The 13,098-nt window shown below is 42.1% G+C and overlaps 1 protein-coding gene across 3 annotated transcripts in view, besides 3 other annotated features; it reads right to left on the bottom strand.

The window, feature by feature from the left end:
• PPM1H (protein phosphatase, Mg2+/Mn2+ dependent 1H) overlaps positions 1-4,842 on the bottom strand; it is a 291,157-nt gene extending 286,315 nt beyond the window's left edge. For 2 of the 3 annotated variants that reach the window (NM_020700.2, XM_017019676.3), the window contains exon 1: positions 4,184-4,842. In NM_020700.2, the coding sequence (NP_065751.1) occupies positions 4,184-4,428 (245 nt within the window). In that variant the 5' untranslated portion in view covers positions 4,429-4,842. Of the gene's footprint in view, positions 1-3,614; positions 4,146-4,183 lie in introns of those variants that run through there. The other variant, XM_011538578.3, reaches the window with a different exon arrangement.
• Positions 4,051-4,552: an enhancer, noted in NCBI's record as "H3K27ac hESC enhancer chr12:63328139-63328640 (GRCh37/hg19 assembly coordinates)". NCBI's record gives its function as "activates a minimal SCP1, AML or CMV promoter by ChIP-STARR-seq in naive H9 embryonic stem cells {active_cell/tissue: H9 hESC(naive)}" and the evidence as "EXISTENCE:reporter gene assay evidence [ECO:0000049][PMID:30033119]".
• Positions 4,825-4,884: a silencer, noted in NCBI's record as "silent region_4611". NCBI's record gives its function as "represses an Ori minimal core promoter by ATAC-STARR-seq in GM12878 lymphoblastoid cells {active_cell/tissue: GM12878}" and the evidence as "EXISTENCE:reporter gene assay evidence [ECO:0000049][PMID:35858748]".
• Positions 10,783-10,952: an enhancer, noted in NCBI's record as "experimental_30791 CRE fragment used in MPRA reporter constructs". NCBI's record gives its function as "activates a minimal promoter by MPRAs in K562 erythroleukemia cells, with activity observed for the non-introgressed 12:63334956 variant allele {active_cell/tissue: K562}" and the evidence as "EXISTENCE:reporter gene assay evidence [ECO:0000049][PMID:34662402]".

Here is a 13,098-nt window from a genome sequence, read left to right on the forward strand (position 1 = left end):
ACTTATGTCCAGGGGTACTTTTATAAGAAATAGGAAAAAAAATTTATAGTTATAGCTATAACCGAAGTAAAATTAGCTATACTTAATGTATTCTTTCTGTACAAGTAAACAAATGTATCACTGATAAAAACCTGAATATGATGCATTAACATACACAATATTGTTGCTCAAAACCACAACACATTCTTTGGCATTCCCTACGTCTGTAGTTTCAGGCACAAATTCCATGCCTGCTGGCATCTCTAAGACCAACTGTTTCATCAACAGGATAAAAATCGGGCAAACAGGTAAAAAAAGAAAAAAAGCCAAAATGGGTTCCCAACCCATTATAAAAATGAACCAACCTCCACTTGGGTGGTATTTGAGAGAAAGGAAGTAGCTGCCGCCTGGTCTCTGGGTCAGACTGTTGCTCCCCAAGGGCTTTATCAAATGAGCAAACCAAACAGGCTCAGCCACTGATTTCAAAGCCAAACTTAAAACTTGCTAATGCATGTTTTTAGAAAGATTTTAGCTTAGTAGATGTTATCTATAACTACAATGCTTTACAGAGCTTTACAACCTTGCAAATACCCCTTAGCCAAGTGGCTAAACTTTTCAGCTGTAATAGGAAGCTTTTCAAGAGCTGGGAAATTCCATCTAGGACAATGCCAATGAATACTGAAATGAACGAAAATCTTCAGTTTCTGCAACCTCAAGTCTAGCAGGGATTGCTTACGGCTAATTCTCTAGTTCTATAGCCTATAGAGTCTCTCTTCTTGAAAGGGATTAACAGTAAGTGGCAAAAGATTAGACCATTTCTCCTTAATTTTTCTACCATCTCAAAGGGTCAGTCATCAACATTAACTCATTGACCAAAAGATGTCAATTTTTCCTCCCAAGGAAGGCTTGGAACGTGACTCACTTTCTAGAGAGGTAAACAGATCACTTCTGATTCAGGCATTAGCTCCTTAGTACAGTTCTTATCACCACAATTTGAGCAATCTTCCTACCTATTCAACCCCTCTCAGGTACCTTCTAGTACAAAGAGAACAGAATTTCTTCTCCCAGTAAATCCTGTAGGAAAGGGCAGCATTACTGGTGGCAGCTTCTGATCACAGCCACAGTCCCTACTTGTCTTTCTCTTTCCTTCCCTATTTCAGCCATTTTGATCATTCAGGATGCATTTTTGCAGGAAGATAAACTAACAGTTCAAGATATAAGGAAGCGGTACAGTATATTATCTGACAGGGTTAAAGGTGAGAAGAGAGAGATGGCCAAGACTTTAGTGGCTATTCCTGGGTACAGATGAATACATCATAATTTAATCTACTGTAGAGAACGAGTTTGGTGTTGCGAGCTCTGGAGTCAGACTGCCTGGGTTCACACACAGGCTTGACCCTGGGCAAGTTGCTTAATCACTCAGTGCTTCTGTATTCTCAACTATAATATGGAAATGATAGTGCCTACCTCATTAGGCTTTTATGAAAATCAGATGATATAAAACAGTATAAGCACTAAAGAGTAAGCATTAACTATGTTAGCCATTACCAATAGTATATATTTAAGAAGAATGAGGTAATTCTGTGTTTACTTATGAATACTGTTAATGACATAGTGTTTTGTGAAAATGCTACAGAATAATATGCTTAGTATGAGTCTATTTTGAGAAGAAAAAAGAAACGCATGATATGTATTTATGAGGGCATCCAAAGAAGTCTGAAAGCCAAATATCACCCAAACATTGAACCCTCATTACTCCTAGGGAGTAGGTGAGGGCTGGGGAAGAGGGGCTGACTTTTTTTTTTTTTTTTTAAATAGGTCTTTGCTTGAATTATCACACATGTATTATTTTTGCCACTAACTTTAAAATTTGTAACATTTTACAGTGGCCTTCCTAGGCTTCAAGTTGAATATCTCTCATGTTTTATTCTAGGAAAAAAAAATTAACTTTTTAGGGATGCGGAAATGGAGGCCCAGAGAGGATGGGGGGAGCCCTCTAAGCACTCTCTCATGCGTGTCTCATTGCATCCTGTGCCTACCATAGGCATGCAAACACTCTGAAATTCGTTCTTTCCTTTCCCTCATGCTTATCTGAGGCTTTCCTTTTACTGTGTCCAAACGGCTTCCACCTTCAGTGTTTCAGTATCTTCTTTCCTACCTCTCATAACTTTCTCACCATTGCCTGCTTTTCCTTCTCGCCTTGACAGGCGCCCTCGCCCTGGGAAACTCACTGGAGTGGGGACAGATCTCAGGCGTTTGGCAGTCACAAGGACCCCCATCTACACAATTATACCACAGGGTATGCCTCCAAGTTGCTGTCTCGTAAAGGGTCCAAATGGGCTTTTTTTTTTTTTTTTTTTTTTTGAGAAGGAGTTTCGCTCTTGTTGCCCAGGCTGGAGTGCAATGGCGCGATCTTGGCTCACTGCCATCTCTGCCTCCCGGGTTCAAGCGATTCTCCCGCCTCAGCCTCCCGAGTAGCTGGGATTACAGGCATGCGCCACCACGCCCGGCTAATTTTTGTATTTTTAGTAGAGACAGGGTTTCTCCATGTTATTCAGGCTGGTCTCGAACTCCTGACCTCACGTGATCCGCCCGCCTCGGCCTCCCAAAGTGCTGCGATTACAGGCGTGAACCACCGCGCCCGGCCTAAATGGGCTTTTAAATAACGTTTTTATTTCAGTCAAGAAATAGTGTTTGGTATGTTTGGCAGGCTCTTTTTTCTCCTTTAGGTCTTTCCTTACACAGGTGTTTATTTTTGCTTTGGCTTTCTCTTGGAAGTTACAATGCTATTTTGTACCTTCGCCACCCACAACGTTCTCTTCCGTGCTCATCTTTTATGATGTGTTAATTTTTACTGTCTGAGCTCCCATCAAAGCGCATTTCTGCCTCCTCACTTTCACACTCCAATCGTCTAGCCCCATTTATACACGTTTTCCATTTCAGCCCATGGAGAAACGCTTTATAGGATGATGGGAGAAGGAAAGGAGAATTAGAGATAATAAGCAGAGCAGATTCCAAGCAGTCTCTCCCACCGGAACCCTTAGGGTCGGGAACCAAGCCTGCCCCGGGGTATCCGGGCCACCAGAACAGGGTCAGCATCAAGGCGCCCAGGCATTGGAAGAGCTGATTGGTTCCCGGACGAACCAATCAACCAGCGAGGCCGTGCACGGATAGGGGAGGGCCAAAACTACCGAGGGGATGGGGTTAAAGGAAAAGGCGCAGGTGTGCCAGCCACCAGGTTTTGCGTGCACTTTTGCACTCCCTGGTTCATTAATAACCTTGAATTCTATTCTAAATGTCTCCTAGTTTTCCCGTTTCGTACAGCTGAGGTAGTAGATAGAAGGGAAAACGTTACTTATCTTACCATTCATAAGATGGTTATTAATAGTCAGTGGAAAAGTGGCCATGGAGCTGGGGGAAGGGCAATAAAATCCTCCACCTCTCCTTTCCCGATTCCACTCTGGGTCGTCAACCTAACTCAGTCGGTTCCTGAAATAGCTGATCAGTCAAACGCAAGCTTAATCACCAAAGCGGATTACCAAAATGTTATATTAGACAGTTGGAATAAGTTTCCCCCTCCCCAAGGGCTGAGGGAAATAGTACTGGCATTTACCGAAAGCGCAGCATTTTACTACCTGCTAAAGGAGAAGCGGAGGAACTCGCGGGCTGAAAGTGAGAGAAACTGAGACCTTCGGAAATGTACAACCACGCACTCGGACACGGCCACCTCCCGGAATCGGACACAAGCTCCCAGGCGCAGTGACATCTCCTCCAAGCCTCCACCCCCATAAACTCTTCATCACGCGGGGGCGTCAACTATATTTTGGGAGGGTGGGGGTACAGATAGCAGATTTTCCTTATGTGTTTCAAACTTCAGAGCTTTTCTGCCCGTTTTTTTTCCCCAAGTGACAGAGACCCCGGATTCACAGACCTGTCTCACCTTAGCTTTCCCACGCTCCAGCGCTGCCACCCACCCCTCCACCACCCATACCGGGGCTGGAGACGCCGCGTCCTTGGGCTGGGGGAAGAGGGAGTGGGGAGAAGAGGGAAATGGCCAGTGTAAGTAAAGAGCTCCCCGCCGAGGCCTGGACGCCGGCAGCTAGTGAGAGCCCTGAGGCCGAGAAGCAGGGAGAGAAGAGGGCTGGAACCGTGCGGGGAAGGGCCGCGAGGAGAGCAGGGGCGCCGCCGGTGTCGCTGCACTCACTCTGCGTAGCCAGTGGCCCAGGGCAGCCGCCGAGTCTCCTTGAGGATGAGGATGGGGCGGGCGATGTGGTCGGCGCTGCACTCCACCTCGTCCTGAGACAGCCCCAGGAACTCTGGCCGCCCGTAGGGGAAACGCAGGGGCAGGTCCGAGCCTCCGCAGCTGCCGCCGCCGTGCTCGGAGCCTGAGCTGCCAGCCATGATGCCGCCCATGAAATTGGCCACGGCAGATTTCACTCGAGTGAGCATATTACTCCGGCGCCCGGCTGCAGCGGTGCGAGCAGGAGGCGGCGGGGGCCGGGCAAGGCGCAGCGCGGGGCATGCAGGCTGCGGTGGGCGCCGGGCGCACGGCGAGTCGGGCCACTGGGACGCGCCGCGCGCGGCTCCCAGAGCCTAGTGCTGCAGGGGGCCGAGCCCCGGCCTCTCGTGCTTAGTGCCGCGGTGGCCGCCGCCTCCCCCCGCTACACTTCCGCAACGGAGCTGCATGGAGCGGGCCGACCGGGGGAGTCACCGCGCGCTCCAGGAGCGCCCAGGCGGCTGCAGCTGCAGCAGGTCCCTTCCCCGCCCCCTGCGCTCGGCTCCGGCGTGCGCTGAACTGAGCCCACCCGGCGAGCTCGCGGAGCCGCCGCGGCTGCTGCCACGGCTACTGCCGCCGGGTCATGTGATAATCAGGCTGCAAGGGCTCAGGCTGCTGCGGTGGCCGTTGCTCAGCCCCTCCCCTGCCGGCCCAAGCGAGACTCGCACCGGGATCGTGACCTCCTGGGGGAGGGGGAGACCGGCTGAGTCGGTACCTGGCGGAGGGGATGGGGGCGCTGTGAGCTGGAGGCGGTACAGGTGTTAGCGGCTGTCACGTGGAGCCGGGCAGCCGGGAAAAGGATTGAAGAATCCACTCCTGAGGAATGCTGCCTTCACCCTCCAGAAAGGAAACTTTGGGAGCAGGAGGGGAAAGGGGAGACAGGTGCAATCAGGGTGGGAAGCTTCTAAGTCCTGCGGTGGAAACCAGCAGTCACTGGGTGTAAGAGACTTTCCAGGGCTTAAAAATAAACAAGCCTATACGGATTGCATGAGAATTATTAAAAGTTTTTCCCTAGGTATTTGTCGATTTACTTTTCTTTTTATTACCACTATATGCATCATTATCTATGGAGCAAACCTTATTTCGAACCCAGAATAAGCTTAATACACAAGAAAAAAGATCTCTTAAGAAATCAGAGGCTGGTCTGAGGGCAGTGGTATTTACAATTAATTGATCACAACCAGTTACAGATTTCTTTGTTCTTTCTCCACTCCCGCTGCTTCACTTGACTAGCCTAAAAGAAAAAGAAACAGGGACCATTAGTATTTAATTGTTAAATAAATTTATACAAGCATTATCCTCCAACGTAGCAACAAAAGTATCTTTTCAAAGCTTACCTCGTTTACTATCTAGACAAATAAATGCATTTTCCTCCAACTTAGGAACAAAAGTATCTTTTCAAAGCTTACCTTGTTTACTATCTAGACACTTAAATGCAGTCGTATTTGAATTTTTTTTAATTCAGAACATTGTTGCAAAATTATCTAAGGGCACTTATAAAACGAAAGAAGCTTAAGTAGAACATAGCAACTCAAATGCTAAAGTAAAAATGAATAAATACTTATAATGATAAAACATTTTTGGTGATCATATGTTAGAAAACACATCTTAAAAACTGAATACTTCATCAAGGCTAACATTTCTTAAATATTGGCTTTTTAGGGGGAGGGGAAACTTTGCAATAGAACGTGTATCCTGTTCATGTTTACCTATTTAATTTGCCAGAATTCGGTGTTACTTACGCAGTTATGCACCAAACAGCTTGCTCTGAATTCAACGGAGAATACAGGCCCTCGTTCTTCTCAGTCAGTGTTTGGGAAGGAGAGTGGCCCAGGTGTTGAAGGAGAAGCCAATTCTTTGAAGAGGAATTGTGAGTCAAGGAGTTCTTGCTGTTAGGTGAGGCCTGGATAAGCCTCACAGATGTCTTTTCTTCAGTATCTATAATATTCTTTTTAAAAGACATTTCCCCCTTTAACTTTTTCATGTATAGATATTCTAATTTACTAGGTACCAAATAATTATGTAAAAGATGGCAGTATTTTAAACTTTCAGTGAAATGCCACTCCTATCAATGAAGTTTTTAAATCACTTTTTACAAAATATAAATGTAATTTTATCTTAGCTCCTTTTCTTCTTATTTTGTGCAGTGTTTTAAATGATGCAAGATATGTCTTCTTATCCTTTGCTTGGTTAAACCGCAAACTCCTGAATGGGAAATCTCTGATTATATGGGTGGTGGTGAAACATCGAACATACCACATTCTCTGGTATCCATTGAGTCTAATATAAGCTTAGAATCGTCTTTTTAAGAAAACTTTTGTTGTAGAACAACTACCTTTATAATTGTCTCTCAGATATTCCAGTAAATAAACATTTTTTTAGTTGATTTTTTTTGAAATGGAGTTTCGCTCTTATCACCCAGGCTGGAGTGCAGTGGCGTGATCTCGGCTTACTGCAACCTCTGCCTCTCGGTTCAAACAATTCTCCTGCCTCAGCCTCCCGAATAGCTGGGATTATAGGCATCCACCACCACGCCCAGCTAATTTTTTGTATTTTTAGTAGAGATGGGGTTTCACCATGTTGGCCAGACTGGTCTCGAACTGCTGACCTCGTGATCCGCCCGCCTCAGCCTCCCAAAGTGCAGGGATTAGAGGCGTGAGCCACCTGCGCCCGACCATTTTAGTTGCATTTAATATGGTCTTCCATTCATTTCACTTTATTGGAAAGCTTTAGTATTTATTTGAAATAGGAATTTGAAATTGTTCTTGTGTGATTTATTTTCAATTTAAACATGGTAACAGTTCATGGTAAATAATTAATATATAAAATTCAAATATACAGAACTGTAAATAAAAATGTAAAAGACTCCAAAAGAATTCCCCAGGGGATAACTACTGTTAGTATTTTTGGTAGGCTTCTAAAATTTTTCTCAAATAGGATATTTAGCAAGATTAAATTTGGCAACATTAGCAAGACTTGTGAACTGTAACACTTACAGAACTAGTGTTCTGTAAGAAATTATTCTACTATTTTTCCATAACCTAATTATTACCTGTAATGAGAAAGTCTTGGTATGTCATTAGCTTTGCTAGCAAACGTTGCCCTGCAAACAGTAGAAAAACAGAAATTCTATACCTGTTCTCTTTCAAATACTTCTATAGTAAAAGACGGAAATGAAATTTCTGATTAAAATGGGGGTGGTCATCCCTCTTAGAGGGACCTCTAAAATTATATGCTTTTCACACCTATTGTACTCATAGGTTCTGAGAGTATCTGTGTTACTAAATTCAAAAGGGGCATTGATCAGGTACTGAGAGACCCTCAATGTGTTTGTTAGACATCAATAGATACCCTTCATTTTCTCTTGTGTTTTTTTTTCTCTTGGAAAATGTGGGTTTGAAGACTTATTCATTTAAGAGATAGATACATAGACCTTATATTTAGATGCTCTGTATATCAACATAATCTCATTTCTAGGTCTATAATACTATAGTTTTGAATATTAAATAACACTATGCCATTAGTAAGACTTAAAAAAAGAGGGCCGGGCGCGGTGGCTCACGCCTGTAATCCCAGCACTTTGGGAGGCCGAGGCGGGCAGATCACGAGGCCAGGAGATCGAGACCATCCTGGCTAACACGGTGAAACCCCATCTCTACTAAAAATACAAAAAATTAGCCGGGCATGGTGGCGGGCGCCTGTAGTCCCAGCTACTTGGGAGGCTGAGGCAGGAGAATGGCATGAACCCGGGAGGCGAAGCTTTCAGTGAGCCGAGATCGCGCCACTGCACTCCCGCCTGGGTGACACAGCAAGACTCCGTCTCAAAGAAAAAAAAAAAAAAAAAGGAACAGGGGGCTGGGGGAGGGGAGGGTGGCGGTGGCTGGGCGCGGTGGCTCACGCCTGTAATCCCAGCACTTTGGGAGGCCGAGGTGGGCGGATCATTTGAGGTCAGGAGTTCGACCAGCCTAACCAGCATGATGAAACCCCCTCTATACTAAAAATACAAAAAAATTAGCCAGGCGTGGTGGCGGGCCCCTGTAGTCCCAGCTACTCGGAGGCTGAGGCAGGAGAATCGCTTGAGCCCGGGAGGCGGAGCTTGCAGTGAGCTGAGATCGCACCACTGCACTCCAACCTGGGCAATAGAGTGAGAATCAGTCTCAAAAAAAAAAAAAAAAAAAAAAAAGGGAAGCAGCAGCTCTGGATAATTTCTTCAGTCAAAACATCAGGTATCCTCTCAAAATGTTTATTAATTATAAAAGATGAAACAATAAATTACAGTGAAAAAACTTGGCAGAAATCACCTTAATGCAATGACCAAGGTTGACATCACTAGTCATTAAGTACCCCCTGACATGGGTCTTCTTCCCCCAAATCCTATACCTCAGTATGCTCATGGGAAAATATGGGTCACACACAAACTGAAGATGTTCTAGAAAGTACCTGACCAAATACCAGATATGGTTAGAAGTGTCAAGGTCCCGAAAGGCAAAAAAGACTAAGGAACTGTCACAGATTGAAGACAATGGAGCTACAACAACTGCAATGTAGTACCAATGTTATTTTCTTAGTTTTGACATTAACATTAGGAAAGCTGGGTAAAGGGTATACAGGAAAAAAACATTAAAATACAAACACACACCAGAGAGATTTTGGGTTTAAGTAGGGAGCAAATGTTCCTTTGGAAATCAGTCCAGAAGAAAGACAAATGATGCCTTTCCAGGACTCATCCCTCCCACAGCTAGAGACTCATACCTCCGTTATGGTGCTAGTTTCCTTGTATTCTAATTAGTACATATATCTTCCCATTAGACAGTGAAATCCTGCAGGGAAAGAATATTCTTATTCATCTTTGTATTTCCAGCACTTTGCCTAATCCTTAACAAGTAACAGGGTTTGGTGGGCAATTAATCCTTTTTAAAAATCCCATTCAGAGAAGAAAGACTATTCTGTTTGAATCACCAAATCTGTTGTTTTTATTCCGTTTTCTTTAAGATCTTTCTCACTTAATCCCTTAAAATCTGTGTTGTCTATACACAGAACTTTCTTTTCTTTCTTTTTTTTTTTTTTTTTTTTTTTGAGATGGAGTCTCGCTCTGTCACCCAGGCTAGAGTGCAGTGGCGCAATCTCGGCTCACTGCAAGCTCCACCTCCCGGGTTCACGCCTTTCTCCTGCCTCAGCCTCCCGAGTAGCTGGGACTACAGGTGCCCGCCACCACGCCCGGCTAATTGTTTGTATTTTTAGTAGAGACGGGGTTTAACTGTGTTAGCCAGGATGGTCTCGATCTCCTGACCTCGTGATCCACCCGCCTCGGCCTCCCAAAGTGCTGGGATTACAGGCATGAGTCACCGCGCCCGGCCAACTTTCTTAACCTATGGTATCTGATAAGGCTTAGCTAACTTCAGTCAATATCCATATTGGTAATAATATGGATACCAAGTCATGTGGGTCTTTCCTTCACACAAAACTGATAGCCTGATATATATATATGTCATAACCAGGATATGAAGTTACAACAGTTAACACTAATTTGTTTTGCTTCAGAGATAGTTTGGATTCCAGTTTTGTATGCAGGAATGTACTGATTGGAAACACCTGATTTATTGGGGGTCGGGGGATACATGTATTTCTCTTCAGTAAACAAAACCATTTACTTGTAAGTGACAGTTTCTTATGAACCAAGAAATTTATACCAAATTCCTGAGCACAGAGTTATAGAGTATTCACAGATTTTACATCCATGAAATGCAGTCATTCCCTAGATTATAAACACCTAATTTAGAAACATTTGGAAATGTCCTACGCTGTCCACATTGTCCTATACTGAAACTACTGTTTTGTAACTGATGTGCGAATTGTAGAAAAAAAATAGTTATCCTTATCTCACAGAATAGCTGCAAGGTTCAGTGAGATAATAGTTGTAAATATGTTATAACTAATGTTGGGCTGGTATTATCACTCTTCTCTAGTTAAATCTGTTTTTCCTTAGAGATCAATTTTTAATATCTAAATTTTAAGCCATTTCTTTTCTCTGTTCTTTGCTTATAACAACCAGGATAACAATCCCTACCTCATTGGATTATCTTGATAATTAATGGAATAACATGTATATTCTTAATATTCTTCTTGGTACAGAATAGATGATCAATAAACAGGTAATAAGCACAATGACAGCACTCTGCACTGTGGGTGATGAGTGAATTTACATACATTGTTTCCAATGCTCTATCAACACCAAGGTAAACATTGTTTTTATTGCTCTTAAACAACACTACCACTTTACTATTGAAGACAGCTGGGAGGTTTATAAATGACTTGCCCAAGACAACACAGCAGTAACAAAGCAATGCAGTCCCATTAGGTACTTTCTTTAACATTACAACATATAGAAAGTTTACATCACAAAATATTTTTTCCCTACCTTTTTCAAGCAAAGATCTGGTAACCTCAGTTATGGTTGTTTTTAAAGGCCTCTGTGATTCTGAAATTAAAACAATCCCTTGGCAACCTTAGATGGATTGTTTTAAGTATAATCCTGTCATTTGGAAATTGTTCCAAATTCTAAAGCAATTAGTTTTCAGTGAGGTTTTTAGCTACAACTTGTTTCTGAGTTGGGAGCTGTCTGGGTCATGCTAAAGTTGAACAGAAATTCTAAATTCTGTTCAACTGGAAAGTATCTTTTAAAAAAAGATTATAATATTACTAAACTGTTCCCAAGCCTTGTCATATTAACTTCTCTTTTAATATTATTTGTTCCCCTGATCTTCTGCCATGATAAATCACTACTATCATGATTTTTTTTTCCAGATAATAGTGGCTTTAGTAAAATATCCAATGAAACTTGTTTACTGAATAGAAAAATCATCATTTGCTTAGAGTAGTGCATGTGGTTTGAACAAGTTCAGAAATCAAGTAACTGAAGACAGCTTCTTAGCTAAGAACTATAAACTCAAATTGCTTTTTATTCTCTCAAAGGATCAGTGTTGCTCTATGCCAGTAGATATGGCAGCTGTCTAGAATATGTTGAAATGCAGAATTAGTTGCTTTGTCCTTTTTGTCATCAACCGTATTTTGAATCAAATTAGAGAGGCTTTTTATGCTTACCTGTAAATATTTTTAGGTTTATCTTTCCAAAACCAAAACACAGTGGAGTGTCATGGCAAATAACCTCATATTTTATTCAAAAACAATACCCCCTCCCCAGTCATGCATTTATAATTAAAATATCCTATTTTAATACATTCTCCTTATCTCTACTTTAGTGAATTTAAAAAAAAAATCTCTTGACATAACTGGGTAATCGTAACAATTCTCTTGTAATTGCTTTGACTGTGGAAAATAGGCATATCAGATTGCAGTCCCTCACATGACAGCCACCAGCAAGATAACAAAAGACAGATTGACAAGAGAACAGCATAAAATTTCATTTAATATAACTTTTATCATATTAAATAATATATTATGTATTTATTAAAACTTTTTATATAATATATAAAAACTTATTTTTATATACTAAATTGTATTACATACAAATAAAACATTATATAAAAATTTGTTTTAAATGATTGGACAAAAAGGTATGGTCTAATGGTAATAAACTGGGGGAACTTTGCAAACTTGTTAGTAAACTTGTTGGAAAAGTAAACTATCTGGCCCCATCGCAAACCTGTTGATTCAGAATCCCTGGGATGGGACGCAACAATCTAGCTTAAAAGTCCTCCAGGTGATTCTGATGTAAACCATTTGAGAAATACTGGCACATGGGAAACTTGTACTGTTTATCTAAAGGACAGGCAGACATGGAAATGCAGGGAATATGTCAAGTAAGAAAAATAAGCAGTGACGCATGTGCTCTGACTTTAAATGTATGTCAACAACAACAGTTGTTGTTCAACAGTCCCAAATTGAATGAGACTATTCAACTGGATCTATTCAGAAACATATGAACTGCCCCTTTCTGTTTCATTTCCGTGGGCTTATGTTAGTGTAGAAGCCTGAGTACATTTGCTGTGGGCAGATATGTAAATTCTTTAGCATATGGGAAGCTGTAGAGAAGAAAGTAGGATTGAGTACTGCCTCCTGATCATCTCCCAGGACCGGATTACCAATAGCCAGTCTATGCCCATGTTCTGTCACGTGCCAAGCAGGGGCAGAAAAAAAATAAATATAAATATATATTTCTATCAATTCACATTATAATATAAATATGTATATAAACTTTATATATATACATATATTTTAAACTACATGTTTGGTAATGTATTTTAAAAGTAACAAAGTGGTCACTATTAGGAAAACCAAAATATTCTTGGCCTTTGTAGGGGAGAAAAAACTTTTTCCTCTACCAACTTTTGTTATTTCAATGGGAGCCTGCAAATTAAACTGAAAAAAGACATTAGTAAGAGAAAAGAGCTTATTTATGCGGGCAATTTTCACACATGTGGGAGTGTTCCGTGATGAGTAACTGAAAAGTGTGGTTAGAATTTGGGGCTTATATACCTAACTTAGTAGGGAAAAGGAATGGGGGAGAAAGACATCTATGGGAAGGACAAATTGGTTTGTTTAGGAAAGACAAATGGGTTTTCAGGAGAACAAACAGAAGATAAGAAAGTTTGTGATAATACTTATGCAGGTATGAGTGGTCTTTCTGTCTTCTTCATGGCGATGAAACTGCACCTGAGACGGGTGATGAGGTTTAAGACATGCTACTCCAAAATATGGCATCTTGATGTTTGAGAAAACAGCAGAAGCAGGAAAGTCTCACTCACTTTCCTCCTGCACTTCTTCCCAGAAACAGGTCATAAAACTTAGGAAGGATTCTCTGACCTTCCCTGGAAGCAGGTCAT

This window comes from Homo sapiens, chromosome 12 (assembly GCF_000001405.40).
Source record: "Homo sapiens chromosome 12, GRCh38.p14 Primary Assembly".
In the NCBI taxonomy this organism is placed as follows: Eukaryota; Metazoa; Chordata; class Mammalia; order Primates; family Hominidae; genus Homo; species Homo sapiens.